General features: G+C 39.0%; 1 protein-coding gene across 2 annotated transcripts in view; it reads left to right on the forward strand.

The window, feature by feature from the left end:
• Positions 1-24,494, forward strand: part of PRDM1 (PR/SET domain 1) — a 117,249-nt gene that overhangs the window by 41,655 nt on the left and 51,100 nt on the right. The window contains exon 1 of one of the 2 annotated variants that reach the window (XM_017011187.2): positions 12,319-12,447. The exons of the other annotated variant lie outside the window; for it this stretch is intronic. The gene's annotated coding sequence lies outside the window, so the exon portion shown is untranslated. Of the gene's footprint in view, positions 1-12,318; positions 12,448-24,494 lie in introns of those variants that run through there. 2 annotated transcript variants of the gene reach the window in all.

Consider the following 24,494-nt stretch of genomic DNA (forward strand, 5'->3'; position numbering starts at 1 on the left):
TTGTTGATTTAAGATCTTTCTTATTTTTGTTTGTGTTTATAGCTAAAAATTTTCCCCCTTAGCAATGCTTTTGCTGCATCCCATAAGTTTTTGCATGTCGTATTTTATTTTCATGCATCTCTAATTATTTTTCTAATTTCCCTTTTGATTTCTTCTTTTATTATTTAATAGTGTTTTAAATTTCTACAAATTTGTTCATTTTCTGGTTTCCCTTCTGTTATTGATGTCTAACTTCATTCCATTGTACTCAGAGATAACACTACAGTCTTACAGTCTTTCATGTTCTCTCTCTTTTTTTTTTTTTTTTTTTGAGATGGAGTCTCCCTCTATCACCCAGGCTGGAGTGCAGTGATCTTAGCTCACTGCAACCTCCACCTCCCGGGTTCAAGTGATTCTCCTGTCTCAGCCTCCCAAGTAGCTGAGATTACAGGTGTGCACCACCACGCATGGCTAGTTTTTGTATTTTTAGTAGAGACGGGGTTTCACTATGTTGCCCAGGCTGGTCTTGAACTCCTGACCTCAGGTGATCTACCTGCCTTAGCCTCCCAAAGTGCTGGGAGGATTACAGGTGTGAGCCACCACACTGGGCATGACACTAAAGTCTTTTTAAGTCTGTTTCATAGGTCTATTCTGGAGAATGTGCTGTGCACACTTGAGAAGAATATATTCTATTGTTATTGCATAGAATGTCCTGTATATATCTGTTAAATATAATTAGTTCGTTATGTTGTTCAGGTGCTCTATTTCCTTATTTCTCTCTGTTTGTTCTATTCTTTATTGAGAGTGAAGTATTGCAATCTCCAACTATTATTGTAGAACTGACTACTTCTCCCTTCAGTCTAAGTTCTATCAATTTTTGCTTTCAATATTATGATGGTCTGTTACTAGGTGTTTAAATGTTTGTAATTGTTACATCTTATTGCTGTATTGAGCCTTTTATTAATAAAATACATCCTTCTTCGTCTCTTCTAAACTCTTGGGATTTAATCTATTTTGGCCAGGTGTGGTGACTCATGCCTGTAATCTCAGCACTTTGGAAGACTGAGGCAGGAGAATCGCTTGAGGCCAGGAGTTCAAGACCAATCTGGACAACATAGTGAGACCCCCCTCCCCGTCTCTATAGAAACTTAAAAAATTAACTGGGTGTGGTGGCACATGCCTGTAGCCACAGCTACTCAAGAGGCTGAGGTGGGAGGATAGCTTGAGCCTGGGACGTCGAGGCTGCAGTGAGCTATGATAATGCCACATTACTCCAGCCTGGGTGACAGAGAGAGAGAGACCCTGTCTCAAAAAAATTTAAAAAAAAAGACTATTTTGTCTAAAATTAGTATACCTACCCTGCTTTCTTTTAATTACTATTTATATGGGATATATATTTCTATCCTTTCACTTTCAACTTATTTGTCTTTGGATCTAAAGTGAATCTCTTATAGATAACATAAAATTGGGTCATGGGTCATGTTTTCTAATTCAGTCTGCCAATCTTTGTCTTTTGATTGGAGAGTTTAATCCATTTACATTTAAAGTAATTACTGATGAAGTGAGACTTCTGTCATTTTGCTTTTTGTTTTCTTTTTTATGTTTTTTAAATAAAATTTTTTTAAATAGAGACAGGGTTTCACCATGTTTCTCAGGCTGGTCTTGAACTCCTGAGTTCAAGTGACCCACCTGCCTCGGCCTCCCAAAGTGCTGTGATTACAGGCGTGAGTCACTGTGCCTGGCCAGCTATTTGTTTTCTATATTCCTTATGGAGAAGCAATTTTTTGACCCTCATTTCCTGCATTACTGTCTCTTTAGAATTTAGTTGTTTTTTGTTTTTTGTGAGACAGAGCCTAAGTCTGTTACCCAGGCTGGGGTGCAGTGGTGCAATCTCAGCTTACTGGAACCTCTCCGTCCTAAGTTCAAGTGATTCTCATGCCTCAGCCTCCCAAGTAGCTGGGATTACAGATGTGCACCACCATGCACGGCTAACCATGCACTCTAACTTAAGTAGAGACAGGGTTTCATCATGTTGCCCAGGCTAGATTAGTTGATTTTTTGTAGTGAAACATTTTAATTTGCATTTATTTGTATATTCCGTAACTATTTAATTTCTTTGTATTTGCCATGAGATCACATTACAACACTCTATTTTGAATTTACACTAAATTAGTTCAATAACATGCTAACTTCTGTTCATTTATAGCTCCATCCTCACCTCTGTGTTATTGATGCCACAAAACTACATCTTTGTACATTGTATGCTCAGAAACACACTAATAATTGTGTTTCTTAGTGTAACAGTCTCTTAAATCATGTAGAAAACAAAAAAGTAGAGTTAAAAACAACTTTACAGCCGGGCGTGGTGGCTCATGTCTGTAATCCCAGCACTTTGGGAGGCTGAGGCGGGCAGATCACTTGAGGTCAGGAGTTTGAGACCAGCCTGGCCAACCTGGTGAAACCCCTTCTCTACTAAAAATACAAAAATTAGCCAAATACAAAAATTTAGAGATGGGGTCTTGCCCAGTTGCCAAGGCTGGAATGCAGTAGCACAATCATAGCTCACTGCAGCCTCAAACTCCTGGACTCAAGTGATTTTCCTGCCTCAGCACTCCCAAGTAGCTGGGACTATAGGTATGTACCACCATTCCTGGCTCTTTATTTCTTCACATGGCTTCAGGTTACTGTCTAGTGTTCTTTTATTTCAACCTGCAAGACCTCTTTTGGCATTTCTTGCAGGACAGTTCTAGTAGTAACCAATTTCCTCAACTTTTGTTCATCTGGGAATGTCTTAATTTCCCCTCACTTTTGAAGGATAGTTTTGCTTGGATATAGGATTCTTGGCTGAGGGTTTTTGTTTGTTTGCTTTCTTTGCTCCTAGTACATTGAATATACTAGCTCACTGCCTTCTTGCCCCTAAAATTCCTGATGAGAAATCAGTTGATGATCTCATTGAGGATTTCTTGTAAATGATGATTCACTTTTCTTGATCATTTGTCTTGGTGTGGATTTCTGAATTCATTATACTTGAAGTTCACTGAATTTCTTAGATGTTTATATTCATATCTCTCATCAAATTTGGTCAGTTTTCAGCCACTGTTTCCTCAGATAATCTTTCTACCCCTTTTCCCTCTTCTCCTTATAAGATTCCCATGATGATGAGTATGTTGGTTTACCGATGGCATCCCACAGGTCCCTTAGGCTCTTCTCACTTTCCTTCCATCTTTTTTCTTTCTGTTTCTCAGACTCAATCATTGTCTTTGTCCTATTTTCAAGTTTGCTGATTTTTTTCTTCTGCCTGCACAAATCTGGCCAAATACCTCTAGTGAATTTTTCATTTTTGTCCTTGTACTTTTCAGCTGTAGAGTTTCTTGGTTTCTTTTTAGGTTTTCTATCTTTTTATTGCTGTTTCCATTCTGTTCATACATTGTTTTCTTGACTTTCCCCACATCTTCCTTTAGCTCTTTGAGCATATTTAAGACTGTTTTTTATAGTCTTTGTCTAGTAGGTCTGCTATCTCATCTTTCTTAAGGACAATTTTTGTTGGTTTATTTCTTTCTTTTGAATAGGCCACAGTTTCCTGTTTCTTTATGTGTCTTGTGATTGTTGCTGGAAGTTGGACATTCGAAACAAATAATGTGATAACTGGAAATCAGACTCTCTCCCTTTCCTATGGTTTGCTATTTTTGTCTTTTTTTTTTTTTTTTTTTTGAGACAGAGTCTCACTCTGTCACCCAGGCTAGAGTGCAGTGACATGATCTTGGCTCACTACAACCTCTGCCTCCCGGGTAGCTGGGATTACAGGCATGCACCACCATGCCCAGGTAATTTTTCTATTTTTAGTAGACACAGGATTTCACAATGTTGGCCAGGCTGGTTTCGAACTACTGACCTCAGGTGATCTGCCTGCCTGGGCCTCCCAAAGTGCTGGGATTATAGGCGTGAGCCACCATACCCAGCCTGCTATTTTTGTCTTCATCCTATTTTGTTTTTTATTCTTGTAGGCTGTCTCTGTGCCAAGGATCAGCCTGAGGTATAAACTTAAGGTGTTCTCAGGTCTTTTCTGAGCCTGTACATTTCACTGGGCATGTGTGGTGACTTGTAAATTTACTCCTTCTATGCATTGCTTTTGCATATTCTATTTTTTAATGTCTGGCTCCCAAAAGGGGAAAAGGAGAAAAATGAAGAAGAAAAGGGATGCTGGTCCTTTAAAACCTCTGGCAATTGCTTTAGCTGGAGGAGGAGGACCTTGTAATAAAGGGATGGTATGTGCAACAAAGACAGCCTGCCTCTATGTCTACACTCCATGATCCAAAGCAGCAATCAGTGATCAAGACATAGATCCTAATCGTTGGAGGATAGAGTCCCTTTTGCACACCCTGGCAAGCTGCTCCAGGAGTACATACACAGCTGCCTGCCATGGGGCTGAGAGGTGGGGAATGGGTAGCTGCTGCTGAGTTAAGAGCTGAAATTGACCAAAATTAACCATAATTTGACATCCAAGCCTTCCCCTAGAGGTTGCATGAGTTCCAAAATAGTTACATGAGACAAATTTTGCCAGTGTGTTTGTTGTCTAGCTGAGAAGACAGGTCCCTACTCCTTCTTTCCAGAATCCTCTCTCCCAACTGCCATTTCACACACATTTTTATTCTTCTAGGTATATTTTTAGGAATCTTATTTTGATTTGAATAGAACTTGTAAATTCAAATGTCCCATTGCTAGAGAATATCAAATGAGACAATATATGAGTATGTATTTTTAAAACATTTTTTAAATAAGTAAGTAATCTTCTTTCTTGTTCACACTCTTTATAATTAGACCATAAACTTAGAAAGTTCAGAAACAGCTATGTTATAAGAAGTCCCTTTGATTGCTTATGGTCATCTTCACTATCTCAGGCTGCATTGGAGGAGTGGGGAGAGGCTCAGAGCTTTCCTCAAAGGATAAGGACATGCCTTTAAAAATAGACAGAGAGCCTTTTTGTGTATATGGATTTTATTAAATCCAAGAGTATAAAACTATATTTGGTCCCTGTATTCATAAAAGGCTGCCTTAAGTTTATTTTCATCTAAGAGAAAAGTGACTCAATCCCTGTTATGTTTGTCTAAGTTTCTGTATAATTCAACACATTGATGATAGAAAGATGGATTATCCTCTATAGCTACTATTTTGGTTACTCATAAATGTTTTTGAAACATTGTGCCAATTTATCAAAAAAGTCTATATTCCTAAACCCACTCATTTCAGGAAACAACCACAGCTATTTTTTTATTGTTTTTATTTTGTACTGATTGAAATATAGGCCACCTGGAATTAGCTTCCTTCTGTCTCCCTTATTATTAAATTCAAGTGTATAATTTTACCCCTGATGTGTTCAGTGAAGCATGATCAAAATGTTACTTTAAAAGTTAAAATAAGCTAGTTTGTGAAACAGTAGTACTAAATGGGTTAGTCACAAATCTATTGTCATATAATATTAGAAATAAGTATTTCTTGCTGACATCCCTGCCTTAATCAGTTAGCTAGTCCATAGCGGCTTAGCGAGATTGTGTTTAGCCTATTTCCCGAATGGCAATTAAGAAATGGTTTTATTTCCTAGTAAAGGTTTGCCAGTGATATTTTTCTGGCCTGTCCACCTCTATAAATTCTCCGTCTCCATCCCTCCCTTTACAATACCCACACCTCTCTTGAAACCCTCTTACTTTCCCTGATCACTAAGACCAAGGCATTCAAAATATTTCCTGTGTGTTTGGGCACTGCCCAGCGAGGAAGAAATGATTAAGCAGCCAAATGTTTGAAACCCAGCTACATGCACTGGTTATTATCTGCTTAACTCTTTCTTATCTTGAACTGCGAGGAGCTTAATGGCTGGGACCCATTGTTCTTCTCTTGACATTAATGAAGAAATCAGAGCATGCAGCTGATTTCCTAAGATGGCTGAGAGTGACATGCTGAATTGATTGATTTGTCCTCTTCTCTCCAGGACCATTCTAGCTAGACTAGAGCAATGGAGGGTGTGGGGTTGCTGGAATAAACACATGTGCACATATTAGCACACATGAATACGAGCACACCACCTCCGTCTATCTGCAGGCCAGGGTGTATTTACCTTCTAGTAAAAGGATTGAAGAGGCTCTCAGATAGTCTGCTTAAGAGATATACTGTCCTCCTAGTTTCTGTTCTACTTTCTCAGTGATTAAGAATCCTGGCAGCAGCAGCCGTCTGCAGCTTTTCTCTGTAAAGCAGACTTCACAGTTCAAACCTGTATCCTGTGGGCTCAGGTGTTGTCCAGATACATACCTACTTGACTAAATTGATCAGAAGGTTGTCTATTTCTTGTTTGTTAAAATTACAAGAATTATTATTAATTTGCAGTTATGAATTAAGAGTAAAAGCTCCCTTTTCAATGTTAACAACATGATGTGTATCCTTTATTACCTTCCTAAATGTGCATATAATTATAGAGGAACAATTAAGATAGAAATATATAGTGTTTTCTGTCATTGTTTTGGAAAAACAGATCATATTACTATCTTGCATTTGTCAATAAAAGGATGATGAAAATCCTTCTACAGTCACTGTTACAGGTCTTAATTTGGCCTGGCATTCAATGCTATGTTTGACTATAGTATATTCAACCATTCCTGCTAATGGGCCTTAGTTTACTTTCCTATTTTTTCCCCACTATAAACAACATGACATTCTAGGAGAGGTAATAGTAACACAGTTTCTGAAGGTGGACCGCTTGGATTGGAATCCTATGGCACCACATAGCAATGCTTGGAGCTCCAGCAGGAATGTTTCTTGTGTTCAATTCTGTTTGTTCTCTCTCCTAGGTCTTTTGAGCTGGCATTACTATTAATATTACTGTATGTCTCTCTGTTACTTTTCATTGTCATTGTTCTTTGAGAGAATCTTCTTGATAACATAAAATATCTCCCAGGCCCTACCTGCAAACATTGTATTTTTCACATTGTTCAAAGGTTAGTATTTTTGTTCAGGAGCAGAATGAGTCACTTAAGGAAGATTCTAAATTGAAAAATATCTGGGACATCTGTCTCAAATAATGATTAAGAAAAAAGCCATTGCTTTAGGTTATTGCTGTTATGTTCTTTTACTTTCATTACCTTAAAATACGTTTTTTGTTTTTCCTGAAAATTCAAGTAATACCTACTAATTATAGAGAGTTTGGAAGCTACAGAAAAGGCTAAAAATTAAATAAAACCATCAGGCATGACTATGAAGAAATAGCATGAGATAGTTTCTTGGCATGATGGAACCATTGTGTATCCTGATAGTGGTGGTGGTTATATGAATCTACATGTGTTAAAATTCAGAGAACTGAACATCCCCCCAGAAAAGTTTGACCGTATAATAATTTTTTAAAAGTTACGTAAAAAATAGAACCATCCATAATTCCTCCACTTAGCATCAATCATTATCAACCTGGTAACATGGTGGCATCGTTCTTCCTAGTATTTCTTTCTTTTTTTTTTTTTTTTTTGAGACCGAGTCTCACTGTCACTCAGGCTGGAGTATAATGGCACTATATTGGCTGACTGCATCCTCCACCTCCTGGGCTCAAGCAATCCTCCCACCTCAGCCTCCCAGGTAGCTCAGACCACAGGTGCATGCCACCGTGTGTGGCTAATTTTTGATATTTTTGTAGAGATGGGGTTTCACTATATTTCCCAGGCTGATCACAAACTCCAGAACTCAAGTGATCTGCCCACCTCAGCTGCCCAAAGTGCTGGGATTACAGGCATGAGCCACCATGCCCAGCCCCTTCATTATATATTTTGTAAAACATTTTTAAATGTTTTGATAATATTTAATCACCAGATATTTCTAATTCACATAACTGTTCTCTTATTAGAGTACCTTTCTTCAGTGTTACCTTAAAAACTAAGTGTGGGGCCGGGCATGGTGGCTCATGCCTGTAATCCCAGCACTTTGGGAGGTCGAGGCGGGCAGATCACCTGAGATCGGGAGTTTGAGACCAGCCTGACCAACATGGAGAAACCCCGTCTCTACCAAAAATACAAAAGAAAAAATTAGCCGGGCGTGGTGGTGCATGCCTGTAATCCCAGCTACTCGGGAGGCTGAGGCAGGAGAATCGCTTGAACCTGGGAGGTGGAGGTTGCAGTGAGCTGAGATCATGCCATTGCACTCCAGCCTGGGCAACAGGAGTGAAACTCTGTCTCAAAAAAAAAAAACAAACAAACAACAACAACAACAAAACAAAACCAAGTGTGAACAAAAATTGTTAATGTAAGAATGAACGTTTAACTTCTGGTTTTTCTAGAGTTGTCCTCAGAATAAAACCTGGTCTTCTGGAGACAAATTCTTCTCTTATCATGGGCTATGAAGTTTTGTACCTCAACTTATGCACTCACCCTGCTGCAGCTATGTCCCTGTAGATCCTAGAACTCACGGAGTTCTTCCCGATTTTGGAGTGCTAGAAAGCTTCTCTTCATCCAACGTTACTTCACTATCATACTGCCCCTCTCTCCCCATTCTACAAGGCTAACACATTTTGGGGGGAGGATGGAGTTTCACTCTTGTCACCTAGGCTGGAATGCAATGGCGCATTCTCGGCTCACCGCAATCTCCACCTCCCGTATTCAAGAGATTCTCCTGCCTCAGCCTCCCGAGTAGCTGGGATTATAGGCATGTGCCACCACGCCCGGCTAATTTTTGTATTTTTAGTAGAGACAGGGTTTCACCATGTTGGCCAGGCTGGTCTTGAACTCCTGACCTTAGCTGATCTGCTCACCTTGGCCTCCCAAAGTGCTGGGATTACAGGCATGAGCCACCACAACTGGCCCAAGGCTGACACTTTTAAGCCTTAGCTTAAAAGTCACCTCACAGAGTGGTCTTCTCTGAACACCCAGTTTCCCTTCACTGTTATTTTCTCTCACACAACACAAACAATTGCCATAATTGGTATTTATTTTTACATTAACTTGTTTATTGTTGTTTTCTCTCGCTTAATTATAAGCTCCATGGAGGGCAAAGACTATGTCAGTTTTGCTGAATATCATATACCCACTGCTTAGCACAGTGCCTGGCATGTAGAGGGAGCTCAGTAAATAATCGTTGGCTAACTGAATGAATGAATGAATAAGAGCTATCATGTTCTCATAAGACATAGATCTAATTATTACAAAAATATGTTTGGAGAGCTTATATTCATATTTTATTTTATTTATTATTATTATTTTTTTGAGATGGAGTTTCACTCTTGTTGCCCAGGCTGGAGTGCAATGGCACGATCTTGGCTCCCCGCAACCTCCGCCTCTCCCGGGTTCAAGCGATTCTCCTGCCTCAGCCTCCCGAGTAGCTGGGATTACAGCATGCACCACCACACCCAGCTAATTTTGTATTTTTAGTAGAGACGGCGTTTCTCCCTGTTGGTCAAGCTGGTCTCGAACTCCTGACCTCCAGTGATCCGCCCGCCTCAGACTCCCAAAGTACTGGGATTACAGGCATGAGCCACCACATCTGGCCCAGATTTTAATATTTTTAATCGAATTAACTGTCAGTGGTATCAAGATTGCTCAGTGACCATCATTGTATCTTAATCTTATGAAATGGGTTGTGATCCTCTTATTCTACACAGGAGTGAATATTTTAAAAGCTAGGGAATCTTTTTCCATTTAGTTTTTTCTTACTTTAATTTTTTTTCTGTTTTAGTTTTATGCCCTACCTCCTTAACCCCACTATATGTGTGAATATGTACTTGTATATCTCAATCTATATTGTTAAAGTTACTACTGGCTTTACAATTCTCAATTTCTTTGGAAAGCAAAAGCTTTACACTCTTTTTTTCTGCCACTAATCACTTTTTGTTCTTTCCTTTTTTTCTTTCTTTTTTTTTTTTTTTTCTGTTCCTGCTCATGACTAAATTCTGTTGCTAACATTCTATGAGTCTGGCTGACAAGACTCTTAATTCCATTTCTCTTTCTTGAACTGTTTAGAAGAATTTAAAGTTATAATTAAGTAACTAAATGGAATACTAGGTAAATTTTGGCACTAGGTATTGTGAGTCAGTTGGTTTATTTTGTTGTTAATAAATCACTTAGTACTTTTTGCCAAGGGAAGCCAGAAGTAAATCATCATTGCAGAGTGTAAAATAGATAGTATTGAACCCAGGGCAAACATTTGGGTATGAGAGGAGCAGCAGTACTGTTCAGTATCTGGCCTCAAATCGTATCACCTCTTTCCGCCCTTCAGTTTCTCCAGTCTTTTACCAGTGCTTCCTGGAAATTCTTTATTTTCTGATCCAAAGTGGATCAAAGACCTAGCACTACAAGTTTAGGCTTTCATTACTTCCCATGCAGGTGAATGGATCATCACTATCCTTGTGATTGTTAAGCTCAGATGTAAGCATGGTAGTTATCAAAGACAGAATTAAGTCAGGTTCCTTCTAAAGACATCCTATCCACCTAGATAAGACAAGGGAAAGCAAGAAAGTTTCACTCTGATTTCCAGTGAGACTTAGGTGATAAGAAAAAGGCAGTGAACGTCATTTTCATTGAGTTAATACGTAGACACTTTTGGAAAGTTCACTTTCCCTTTAAAGTGACTAGAGAAAACAAAGGGCTAGAAATATTAAATGTAAGATAACCCTTAAAGATAAGATGACTGCCACTTGAGCCCAGGAGTTCAAGGCAGCCTGGGTGACAGAACGAGACCCAGTCTCTTAAGAAAAAGGGAGATGCATATGGTATTAGAATACATGTTTAAGTGATTTTTTCAACTTTTATCTTTCTGGTAAGCTACTGTGGCTAGAAAATGCAATTTCTCATCCATCTTTCCAAGGTTCTAGCTAATTCAGGAACTATCCCAATAAAACACCATCATTGTTATGACATTGTTCAGGTGAGTGGGAATAACAGTGTTAATCCCCAGAGAAGTGGCTATTGCACAAGTCGCAGAGGGCAGATTGGGTGTCTGTAGAATGCAAAACTTGAATTAAGGGTTGCAAGTCCACACTTTTACTGCTTTCCTTGAGATATGTGGTAAAAAAAAAAAATAGTTTCATATTAGACTGTTTAAAAAAGCAAACAGACTTTATTTAGTTTGGTAGATTTTCTTCCTGGTGTCTGGAACTACGCCCTCATTTATTGTGGCTTATTCAAAACAGCATATTTTAAAGCAGTAATTATAGCACAGATGATCAACAAAGGCAAATATATGTGCCATGCTAATCTTTGTACAGTATTTTGAGAAATCAACGTTGTTCTCTTTTATTAGTGGCTGAAAGTAGTTAAATATTTTCAGTAAAAACCTTGTTGACACTCAAGGTATTTTTATTTTAAGAAACAATGGAGAGACAAAGGCTAAATCTCTGTTTGCTTTTCTGTGACTATCACTGATTCTCTCTAAAACGGGGTCAACAAAATGATACAGAGAGGTAAGAATATCTTTGTGCTTCAGTCTGATTGGGGGTGCGGGGGAAGATCTGGAAGAGGTTGGATCTTTAAAACTCAATGTAGAGTTTTCCTTAGGCAAAAGCTAAACAAAACCAATGCCTATGTTCTAGAGAAATGTCCTAAACAATCTCTTCTTCCCCACCAAGGTTCATGAGATAGATGCAGAGCCTACTCCGTATCCTCATGGGTGATATTATTATAAAATACACTGTCACACTTGGCGCCTCCAAATATCTGATTATTTACCTTGAGCAAGACAAAAATGTCACCATTGTTTGAAGAAATGAAAGTATTAGTCCTGATGCTAGCAGAGCTGCTTTAGAGAAGAAGGGAAAAAAAAACAAAACCAAAACAAACAAAAAAAACCACCACCAAAGAACCCTTGGTAGGATGCTAATCAGGCCTATTCAGAAAAGCCCTAATTAATGTAATTAAAATCTGTCAGATCAAACTGATTAGCCTGATACTCAAGCCGAGTGGAGGGAGTGGGGCTCCTGGGGGGAGGGGAGGCAGCTGCTGCTAAGGTGGGGTTAGCTTTCAGAAGAAGGAGGTGGTTGGTCTCCAAGGTGATCAAAGCAACTTGTCTTTCATTTCCATGGAGGGAGGACAGTGGGCTCCTGGCTGGAGACCTAGTTTCCTGTGTCTCTAGTTGTTCTCCCGCACCGAACCATTCAGGTAGGAGAAGCAGGGCCTTTCTGGGCTGTGGTGGAAGGCAGCTGGGGAGGTGTCTTGTCTTCCTCTTTGACAGCTAGAATATAGATGAAGCATTTTTCCTCCCCTGGCAGTCCCCTGTTGCAGTCATTGGTCATGACCACCGACACACCGGCAGGAAGGAGACAAAGGCTGTGTCATGTGATCTTCCTGATAGGGCTGTTGACACAGGCCTCTTGTGAAGATCCACATTCTGGGGTGGGAGAGCAGCCAGTGGCCTCTGCCCGGCAGGGCTCTGCGCTGGGGAGAGGGAGAGTTCTGCTCAGGGGCAGCCCTTTCAGAGGTCCCGAGGAAGTTTCCAGGCGGCTTGAGTGGAAAAGTGAGTATTTCATCACCAGTGCGAGAGTCTTAGTCTAGCCAAATGGAAGAAGAAAGGACAAGTAAATTCGGGGTTAAGAAATTCTCTGAGCTTCTAATCATGTCCTGAGATATATTCTTTCCTGGAGGGGTAAAATGACATTTCTCTTAATAACAGTTATTCTGAAGTTCAGAGAAGGTCATTGCAGGTCTTTATCACTTCTTTACTGATATAGAAGTTTAAAAAGCAAGACTCACTTAAGAGATTGGTGCTAACCACCTGAAGTGATTTTATATGATCTTTCCTTGCTTCTTAACAAACAGGACTAAGTATCCTGGGTCTTCATGATACTGTAGTCATATTGTACCCATTTTGATTTTTCTGCTAACACCAATATCAGAAATAACTAGGAAAGAAAAAGGAAGAATGGAGATATTGAAAGAATTTGGAGTTTCAGCTTTTTTCCTCAGTTGTAAGTGCTACATGTAGTTGTACACAGCATTTTTAGTCACAGCCTAGCAATTAAGTTTATACAATTTCTTGAGTTTTTGAAAACAGTCAGAGAAGTAATTAATTTGGGTTTTGCTAGCATAGTACACCTTAAAAATTGTCTTTAACAGTGGGGTAGGTCTTTGATGGAAATGCCTGTAGAAAGATGGACAGACACATGAATTGTGGGCCAAACTGTAAGTTGAGAATTGCATAGCTTCTTTTCATTGTGTATGGTTTAGCTAATAACACAAGAATAGGATGTAAAAAGCTAAATCTTTGTTGTAGGAAGTTAGTAGGACCTAACCAGGGGAAAATGTGTATTAGGATCACCACTGCAATGCCCTCTTCTGTCATCCTTATCTTCCTTATCACATTTTGCTACCATTTCTTATAGTGGTTGCACCAAAGGAATAAGAATTACAAGGGCTTTCACTAAAACTTTAGTAAGAAAGTAAGAAAACCATTTCTGGTGACAAAGAGAGTAGGAACTAGGAGTTGAGAACCTTTGATAGTTGTCAGTTTTTACTATGGTTAGCCAAGTGAGAGCAAATCCTATACTCCTACCCTCAGTCTCTTCAAAGCTAATGCAGGGGCTGGGCTGGAAAAGTGCACAGATCTAAACACCTGGGACATTTAAATGAATAAATTCAAAGTAGAAGCATACTCCATTTTCTAGCTGTGAAACTGCATATTTGGCAGTTCTTAAACGGCTTGTGCCAGATTCTAAAATGTAGTGGTAATAAGTAAATGAGTGTATGCCTTTGTTTCTGCTTTATTTGGTATGAATGACTAGAAATGGGAAAAGTTCCTTTTCCTTTTCTAGACCTCTAATAGCATGGGCCCTGTGTCTGTCAAAAACAATATCTTGCACTTTGGGAGGCCAAGGCAGGAGGATTGCTTGAAGCTAGGAGCTCAAGACTAGCCCGGACAACGTAGGGAGACCCCATCTCTACCAAAAAAAAAAAAAAAAAAAAATTAGCCAGACATGGTGGTGCATACTCATAGTCCTAGCTACTCAGGTGGCTGAGGTGAGAGGATTGCTGGAGCCCAGGAGTCTGAGGCTGCAGTAAGCTGTGATCATGCTACTGCACTCCAGCCTGGGCAACAGAGACAGTGTCTCAAAAAAAAAATAGGAAACATCTCTAGAAAAAGCAATATGAGTGTGTAGTTATGGGCAGGACTCAGGCACTCAGAACTGACCACGCTGCATTATTGTGATGTCAACAGCTTAGTTCTGTCCATACCTGTTCTGATCAGACCGCTGAGCCTATGTTTGACTTAGCCCCCCTTTCCTACAATTTCACAATTTTATGACTCTCCTGGTTGCACTGATATCCTTGAAAAAGACAGCTGAGTTCAGTTAGTGAACCTGCAGTAAAGTGGGGTTGCCTGGTCAGCACAGGGTCTTATCAGGAGAGAAATGTGTTTTATGGAATACTGAAGGCCAGAAAGGTAGGGGAAGGCTTTTCTCTTTTTCCTTGTTATTTTGTCCTGCTTCAGATTTAACCTTTTCCACTTCTTAGTATTTTAGAGCTCTTTTCTCTAAATGTGAAGTAAATGCCTTCCATTTTTTTTTTTCTTTCTGAGACAGAGTCTTGCTCTGTCCCCCAGGCTGGCGTACAGTGGCGTGATCTCGGCTCACTGCAATCTCTGCCTCCTGGGTTCCAGCAATTCTCCTGAGTAGCTGGGATTACAGGCATGTGCCACCACACTCAGCTAATTTTTGTATCTTTAGTAGAGATGGGGTTTTGTCATGTTGTTCAGGCTGGTCTCGAACTCCTGGCCTCAAGTGATCCATCCACCTCGGCCTCCCCAAGTGCTGGGATTACAGGCATGGACCACTGCGCCTGGCCCCATTTCCAATTTTATATTAGCACTTTTGGAGGCAGCAGAGAATGTGGGCACGATAGTATGGTGAGTATGAGAGAGAGAACAGAGAGAACAGATGCTGTTACTGGAAAGCAAACTACTTGCAGCTCCCAAAGCCAATTATGTTACCTCTCCTATTTCTATAATAGAGGAGCTTGACAGCAAATGTTGAAATCTGTAACTTCCTTTCACCAACAAGCCTCAGGTGACTGACCAAGTCGTGTACATTTTATGTCTATATGAATGTGCTTTCCATGCATCCCTTTAGTAAACAGACACTTCCAAAGTCACTTCTCCAGCCATACTTCCCACAGTTCTGTGAGTCCTTCATTTTGGCCAGTGTGGATGGGAGGATGGCCTGAGCTCTTGCCTCCCCTCACAGCTTTGCTTGTCCAGCTGTGGCTGCTGGGATGCCATCCAAGGCTCAGCTCCGATGACACCTTCTCCACCACCTGCCCTGGTTCCCCTGTCCTCCCTCCCTGTCTTCCTCTCCTGGGCTGCTTCTGTGGCATCTATCATTTCCTTCCCTGAATTGCGTGCACATGCACATGGCCACACACACACACACACAAACACACAGGTGCATTGTACTATGCCAGACTGGAAACTTGTGCCTTCTCCGTGCCTGGCACCATGTCTGTAATTAACTACCCACTGAGCAAATGAATATAGGAAAGAATGATAAATGGCTGCCTTTACCTTTAAATTAGATTGGTTCCTTGTTCTCTCGATTGTCCGTTTCTCTTTATTTCTTGTCTTTTTGGCCTTGAGAACCTGAATTTAGGCCATTGAGAATTTCATACCCACACTTTCACCCTCATTCTAACCTGCTGACCACTTTTTTAGTTCTCCTACAAATGCAAAATATTCATATTTGGTGCAGAGTAGCATAGGAGATGACACTGAGTAAGGAGCTTGAATGCTAGTCTGAACTCCAATGCTGGTGTGATGTGAACTTGGAAAAGTCACCTCATCTTACTGGGCCTCTGCTTCTATTTCCATAAAATGAGAGGGTTGGACTGACAGTCCTTCTCAGATATGTGCCTTGGATCCATAGGCTGCTTCCACAACCAGATTTCTGGTTTTATCTACTCTGTTTGTTAGTGTTACTCTAAGATTTCAGTAGGCTTAATAGAAGTAAAAAAGATAAACAGTAGTGGTTCCATTACTAAGATAAAATCTTGGATAAGTTATACTCTACTATATTATCTCTAAGGTTCTTCATGGAATTCTAAACTAGTGTGATTTGAAGACATCATGAGAAGAGCTTTACTAAAATTAAAATGAAAACCTACAAGAATTATTACACTTAGGAATTGTTTTTTTTGTTTAGTTTTGCAGTTGCTTATGGTACTTTTGGATATAAAGTATTGAGATTTTTTTAACATTTACTTTTTATTCTTTCACAAAAACAGATGAGCTCGTTTCTGAAGAATGTATATTCCTAAGCTGTCAGCTTTCTGCGCGTGCTAGGTTCTCTCCCTTCATCCATCTTACCTGCCAAGAGAAAACTTCCCTCACCACAGAAGGCTGTTTGGGGACTGGGTAGTTTTGTATGCTAGATGTCTTACACAGTTACACCTTCAAACACGTATTTTGTAACAGTCAGTACTTAGGTGGATTTTGGCCATTCATATTCTTTCTCTTTTCTTCTCTGAGTTAAAATAAAGCAAACCAATATACCCACATCTAAGGAATTCAGAGAAACACTATTCAAAAGTTACAAGTAAAGCAAAACTTCTTAAAAAGGCATATCCTTAATGAAAAAAAGTGTTTACTTTTTGTATTTAAAATTTAGTGATAAATTGTGCTTAGAAAGAAATATATAAAAATATATTTGGAAAAGGTACATCCAGAAAATCTTTATGCCTGATGGGTTGGTTTTGTCACTATACCTGTAGTGTTGTATCCATTAAAATAAAAAAAATTACTAGAAAAGTCAGGTTTCACCTGTTATAATATATCCACAATGTTATCCATCCAGTTTGTGTATTTTTTTCATTCAGAGCATTGAGCCCGACTGAAGAGAAACTTAAGAAGGATCACAAAGCCAGTTTCCTTAATTGTACCTAGGAATGAAAATCATGGTAACAAGAATATCTGACATGTAATAAGGTTCCTTGTTAATTGTTAACTCTTTGAGTTGGACCTGGCTCCTTAAGCAAACATAACCTCAGTGGGCTAGGTCTTCTGCCCCCGCAGACCCAGTCTTAGGGACTAAGCTTGTAGACCAAGGAGGCCTCTTCCCCAAACTAGGAGAGTGGACTCACAGCAGGAGGGCTTTCACTGTCTCTTCAAACAGGAAGGGAAGGAATCATGTTACTTAAACTGCTATTTTCACATAAAGAAGGCAGAGAAGGGGGACTGGTTCTGTAAATGTCTTTAAGATCACAGGGTAGCTGACCTGACTTTCTCAGCTGTTATTTTGCTTGTTTAACTGACCCGTTGTCTGAGCAGGTGTGTGGTGCCGCAAAGGATTGCTTAGGATAGCTGGCATAACTTTCCTTTCCGTCTGGAAAAAAGAGGGGCAAAGAGTAGGCCACAACAAGGCTTGGTTAGGAAGATTCTGGAGTCTGAGCCCTTGAAGGGGGAAATGATGCCGAAGTCTGAATTTTCTTTATAGAAGGCAAAATTATTTTTGAAAAGGTGAGTGGATGGCCTATGAAGTATTTGGGGAATGGTGTTGCCTGTATATTTTCCAGGTAACCAGTTTGTTTTCTTAATTTTTCCATGTGTAAATTGGAGAATCAGAATTTACACGAAAAAATTAATGTTATGCTAATTGAAATAAACCACATTTAAAAAGACAAATATTATATAAGTCCACTTATTTGTGGTATCTGTGTCAAGTTCATAGACACAGAAAGTAGAATAGAGGTTACCAGGGACTAGGGGTAGGGAGGAATGAATAGGGAGTTATTGTTTAATAGGTTTGGGGAGGATGAAAGTTCTGGAGATGGATACTGATGATGGTTGCCCCACAGTGTGAATCTACTTAATGCCACTGAGCTGTACACTTAAAAGTGGTTAAAATGGTAAGTTTTATGCCATGTATATTTTACCACAATAAAGAAATATTCAAAGACATATTTGTCATAAGATATACCAAAGGAAACCTGTAACAACTTGGTCCAGGGCCTAGAAGGCTAACATGATTAAGACATAGCAAGATTTTTTGTTTGTTTTTTCTTAAGTAGACTGAATATTTTGGCAAGATTTTTTTTACTCTATGGAAGATTTTCACATTCTTTGTTTTAAAGGTATGGTCGTCTTGAATTTCTGGTTATTGATGCCTTTAATGTTTTTTTACGCTTCATGTTTACATTTAACTAACAATGTAAAAAATAACTATCAACTTGCTGTTAATAATGTATATCTTACCTTATCCGATTGTGGCATAGGAAAATATCTAGCGTATTAAATTAACAATTGTTTTGGATCCTCTGTTGGAAGACAGACTGTCTCCTTGATGATGCATTGGGTAGGATGGCAGATTTACACCCGAATACGTCTCAACTAGATGAGTAAAAATACATCACTTTAAAAATTCATGGTCATGCCGGGCGTGGGGTGGCTCACACCTGTAATCCCAGCACTTTGGGAGGCCAAGGTAGATGGATCACGAAGTCAGGAGATCGAGACCATCCTGGCCAACATGGTAAAACCCCATCTCTACTAAAAATACAAAAATTAGCCAGGCATGGTGCACACCTGTAGTCCTAATTACTCAGGAGGCTGAGGCAGGAGAATCATTGAACTGGGAAGACTGAGGTTGCAGTGAGCTGAGATCACGCCACTGCACTCCAGCCTGTACAACAGAGTGAGACTCTATCTCAAAAAAAAAAAGTTATGGTCACTATTTAGAGGAAATTAAAACCTAAAAAAACCCTCAAATATTAAATATTATTTTTCACAAATTTACTTCCTAATTTTTGGAGTAGAATTTTATTTTAATTGCATTTTTATTTTAGAATGAATTGATTTTTAGATTTTATTCAGTTTAGGGAAACTGGACTCAATTTCATTTCTGCCTTCATCCGATAATTTTTATTTACACTGGTTTAGGAGCTTTGCCTATGGTGACCCTCTTCTTCTCTACTATCTCCCTGTCCCCAAAGAAGAAAAAGCCTTGTTGCAAATAATTTAATTTGAATTTCTAATCAAGTCGTTTTTGAATCAGACAGAAGACCTCTTAGTGAAAATTGTAACCCAGTTGGAAATTAAAATTAAAGCAACCAGAAATGTTGTCATAAGTAATCTTTTGTAAGTAGCCTTCTCCCCTTTATATGTTTTTTTCCTGTTGTATTTATAGTTTTAAAAAGAAAAAACACAGTTGAGACCCCAATTTAGAAATACATAAGTATTCTATTGTATCTATTATGTATTCTAATAGAATACATAAGTATTCTATTGTATCCATTATGTATTCTAATAGAATACATAAGTATTGTATTGTATCCTGTTTGTTTTAATTCTTGAAATACACTTATTGGCACCCAAGGACTCTTAGGAAACTTTAAAATGCCAACACTCTAAGGAGGCTCACTTGCTCTCCTTGGGACCTAGTTATTGAGTAACAGGGTTGAAGCCAAAACTGAGTTCCCTGGTTGGCGAGGCTCCCTGAATACAAGTGTCTTGGCTAATGTCCTTTTTCGTGGTTTATTTTACCAGTAGCACAGTGTGCCCACCACCCCCCAGCCCTCCACCCCCCACAATGTATACAATACTCTGGGTAGAAAGTTCATGCCTTAGAGCATCCTTATCCCCTAGTTTACAGAGTGGTGAGATCTTTTGAATGAGTGTCTAGAGTACAAAGGTTATGAACCACTTGTAAAAAGTCACAGAATAAAAGCCCCTCTGGGGTTTCCTTGCAGAGCAGGATCATTGTGTTGGTCTCTTTTTTTTTTCATGGAGACTAGATTCGTAGATCATAGGTCATCTGTGTAAAGGATCAGTCTGCCTATTGCTTGGTTAAGGGGTTGACCAAAGACTGATGGTGTCATGAGGTAGCTGTCATTATTTCATTGCAGCAGGGAAATAGAAAACAAGATCATCTCAACATTTTTACAGAAACACGTATGTATAAAGAAAACTGAAGGAAGATACAAACTCAGGTATTTTACAAAATGAATTTTAAATGCTTTTTGACTCTGAAGTAAATGATTTGCCTCTTAATCCTTCTTTAAAGCATTTAAAAATCTTTTGTGTGTATACCTGGTGTATTTGTATAAAACTGAAAATCAGATTGCTACTTGTTCCTTTCTGTCTATCTCTCTCTCACTTAAAACTAATTCTGAATTGGGCAGGGGCAGATGGTGTCTTCAGTATTTGGCTTTTTTTCAAGATTTTCTTTTAAGAATATGTCAAGTATTCTAAAGACCATTAGATGAATTAAAAAGCATGGCTCTTCTGCTAAAACAATAACTTCCATGTGTTTTCTTTTGTGCTTTACAAATGAATTTATGAAAGACTTGGATATTTCAGCCTAAGAAGATCAGTGTCAGATTAATGTATAAGCTTTAAGAAGATAAGGACCATGTGCATTTTACTTCTTCAGGTAGAACTAAGAATAGCTACAGGCAGTTTAATCAATTATTTAATGGTGATTGGAATGAACAATAGCTATACTTTTTAAGGAGAAAGAAGATGCTTAATGTAATGCTTTTCAAATTTTTCTATGCCATAAAAGGTATATATTTCTTTGATCTTTATGAGAATAGTGTATATGTGTTCTTTCATAAGCAAAAACATACTACTGATCCTTTGACAGAGTGGATACATATTCTGAATTCATAGCGAGAATAGGATTTTGACATTTCATACACATCATTTTACTGAAGACATCTCTAGCATGAATACTGGCAATTTGTTTATAATTTGGAACAAAATATATTGAAATGACCCATACTGCTATTGGACCTGTGATCTGGGTTTCATCAGCTAACTAGGACTTCTCAGTGTGGCCTGTCCTGGATTATCTGAGCCAAGGAAGGAAATAATTCTCACGAAGCATGACTAGTTAAAAATCACTGCTAATTGAACCTTCCTAGCATTTTGGCTGTTAGGATACTGGGCAGGGTCCTTAAATGTGTATCTGATAATACTTTGCAGTTTGATGAAGCAAAAAGTAGAGTTGGCTTTTACGGGAATTTTTTTCTTGGATTTAGTTATATTTATGTGAACAAAATCTGATCATTACTTTGGGAAGATACATACATGTCTTGCATTATTATATACATGAGAGATATTATTAATCGGATCAGGGCCTAGCATGTGATTAGTAGCCTGGTTCACTATTATAACTAGTTGTCTTTACATCTCTTATGGTTTATTTACTTGTTAGAACACTTTAAATGGAAAATGCTTGTCATTTGAGTATCTGAATCCTTAGAGGAAAAAAGAATGGAGTATGTGTCCCCTTGAAAAGCCTGCAGATTAGATTATCAGCACAGTTAATACGTAAGGGACCTTGTGTCTCCCTAACTTGCCAATATCTATTTGTTGAGTGTTGCAAGAGTTTGCTAATTAAACAGTTCACAAGATGCTTTGAGCAGAACTTGTGGACATTTCACCAATTGAACATTTTATTGCTGCCGTTGAAAAAAGCTAGTTGGTGTTTATTAACTAACTTTCTTGCCATGGTTCTGGAGAGTCATGGGTACAGCTCTGGTCCCCGACTCTAGATTTTTAGAGCTCAGAGTCACTATTGACACTTTGCTTGCAAACGTGCCTGTTGTTACTTCAAGGCACAACCATCACTTTACTGAACTTGCAAATATGAATTAAGTAACAAGATGCTTTTGACTGAGAGTCCAAATCAAATTAAAGCTGTGTGTGGGAGGGGATTGGGAGAAAGGCTCATTCTTAAGAACAATTTTTTTTAACTCAAGGAAAAACACATTGTTTCAGATATAAAGGTAGGAACTGAGATATTTAAAATTAAAAGTAAATCCTTTCAGGTTAAGAATTTCCATCTCATAATTCCTTACAGATGAAGCTACAAAGCAGTTTTCTGTCATAATGTAAGCACAAACTTCCCTTACCCAGTCTTTGTGGTATAGCCCAGCAGGACTTGGGCTACTGGCCTTCCCACTCTGTTGTCCTGCAAGTGAGCCCTCAGCAGCGAAATGGGAGAAGCACGGAGAGTCTGCACTCACCCACAGATCCCTAAGAGGATAAGGACAGTTTCTGGCCTTCTCATCCCTCACCGCCTTTGCAAGTGATTTGAATTGAATGAATTGGCCATTCCTAGAATGTAATTAGTAGGAATATTAATCTAGCCTTTATAAAGGTGGAAAAACTGCCCCACTCTTCAGACAGCATATCTGATCTGCTCCAGTATGTATCAACTTGCTTGGACTTTAATGCCTTCAGACCCAAAAGCCTGTTTATCAGCCACACACAACCGACTCAGAAACAGCAAGAGAAGCTCCTGCGAAGGAAGTAGGTTTGAGTCTATTTGCCCTTTGTTGTGGTCAGTAAAGGAACTACTTGTGCTTTTTAATTAGAAGGGTGGGACCAGATTTTTCTTAATTGCAGTTTGAGCTATAACACAAAGCATTTAAAGAATGACTTTTTAAAATAAATTCATTTACATTCTCTCCTGCATTCAACCCCTAACCTTTTCTTTGAATGACTTCTCATTTTCCACTTTTTCCTTAACCCTTCCTTCAGAACATATTCAGCCTCCTCAGTTCTGAATAAGGTTTTGAAGCTCTAGCACTGCTTGTGTTTGTTATTTGGCTTGGGAAGGTGCCCAAGTTGTACAAGGCCCTGGCAGGTGAGAATGCAGGGACAATGGGTGTGGCTTTTGTTTTCAGAATGTGGATTCACAAGTGCTCAAGGAATATGACTTCAGCACTATACATTTTGAATAGCCAGAAAGGGTTCATCAGAAATTGCAGACAGCTGCTTGTACTACGTAGGATTTATCCTTAGAACTAGACAAGGAAATTTGTATTTCCTGTTTTAATTAGAAGGGACTTTCACAACATAAGAATAAAAGGCATGGTTTGCCCCAAAGACATGCATCTGCTTTATATAAAATAAATGCATTATAAGTGTGAGAAATTGCTTGAAGATGGCCATGATATTGAGAATATGCTGTGTATTTACTTTATAGTCATCTGAGGTTTTCTTTTCCAGTAAGGTTAAGAACCTCAAGAATTTTTATGAGTGGTTTAGAGAAAAGCATATTCAAGAACTGGTGTTAAAGTTGTATTTATATAGAAATGTGAAAAGAAGCCTTTTGCTTCATCCACCTGCCAGATATATTCACATATCTGTAGCCTTCTTTTATGGACCCTGAGAAGAGGCAGTGGTCCTTACTTTTTCACTATAATTTTTGGTTTGGAATGCATACTGAATGGAGTATAAGTAGATAGGAATATATTTGTTGGGGTATTTTTTTTCCTTCTGAATTTGTAGGATAATCTACTGGTTTACTGCACAATATTGATTTTTTTCTTCTCAGTAAATCAACCTTACATATGTCTATGCAGAGAATGCTAAATTCACTGTTTCAAAGGAAAGCATGTCAAAGAGCCATTTTTAAATCATTTGGAGTGACAGAGGATTCCTAACAGAACCATAAATCATCTTTTAAAATGATATTGGATGTAATCATCACTTAGTCTTTGCTCTATATGAAACTCAGTTTTTATTCCTATACCTCTCTTACTCCCAGAAAATGTGCCTTAAACCTTAGATAATTCATTTTCCTTTTTAATTATACAAGTATAGGTAAGACAGAAAATGAGAGGTATATTCTGAAAATCATAATTCAACTTTTGCTGTAAAAAGTAGATAGAACTTGATGCAAGTGAATTTGTGCCGGTTTCTCCTAACTTTCCCATTTGGGCAGGGGCACCACTTGATTGTATAGGTTTACAATTTTGAAATGCTTTGTAACTCTTCACCTCCTTGGCCTATTCTTACATTACATACCACCCTGCACCAATATTTGGCAAAAGTTATTTTCAACTCTCAAATGACTCTTGGGACAGCCTCTAAGTCAGTTTGAGCTGCTATACAAAGTACCACAGAGTGGGCAGCTTGTAAACAAAAGAAGTTTATTTCTCAGAGTTCTGGAGGCTGAGAAGTCCAAGATCAGGGTCCAGCCAAGTTGGGTTCTGGTGAAGGCCCTCTTCCAAGTTGCAGACAACTTCTCACTTGTTGTATCCTCATGTGGATACAATCAGAGTGAGAGAACTCTCTGAGATTTCTTTTATAAGGCACTAATCCCATACACAAGAGCTCCACCCTCATTGCCACATTACCTCCCAAAGATCCTGCCTCCTAATATATCATATTGAGGGCTTAGGAGTTCAGCATGTGAATTTTGGGGGGACACAAACATTCAGTCCATTGCAGCCTCAAGACAATTGATTCTGGCCTCCATGTGCTTCCACTTTGGCATTCCCACTAGCCAGCATATTTCTTTCTTTCTTTCTTTTTTAAAGATAGAGTGTCACTGTTGTTGCCCAGGATGGAGTGCAGTGGCGCAATCTCGGCTCACCGCAACCTCTGCCTCCTGGGTTCAAGTGATTCTCCTACCTCAGCCTCCTGAGTATCTGGGATTACAGGCATGCGCCACCATGCCAGGCTAATTTTGTATTTTTAGTAGAGGCGGTTTCTCCATGTTGGTCAGGCTGGTCTTGAACTCCCGACCTCAGGTGATCCGCCTGCCTCAGCTTTTCAAAATGCTG

This window comes from Homo sapiens, chromosome 6 (assembly GCF_000001405.40).
Source record: "Homo sapiens chromosome 6, GRCh38.p14 Primary Assembly".
Lineage (NCBI taxonomy): Eukaryota > Metazoa > Chordata > Mammalia > Primates > Hominidae > Homo > Homo sapiens.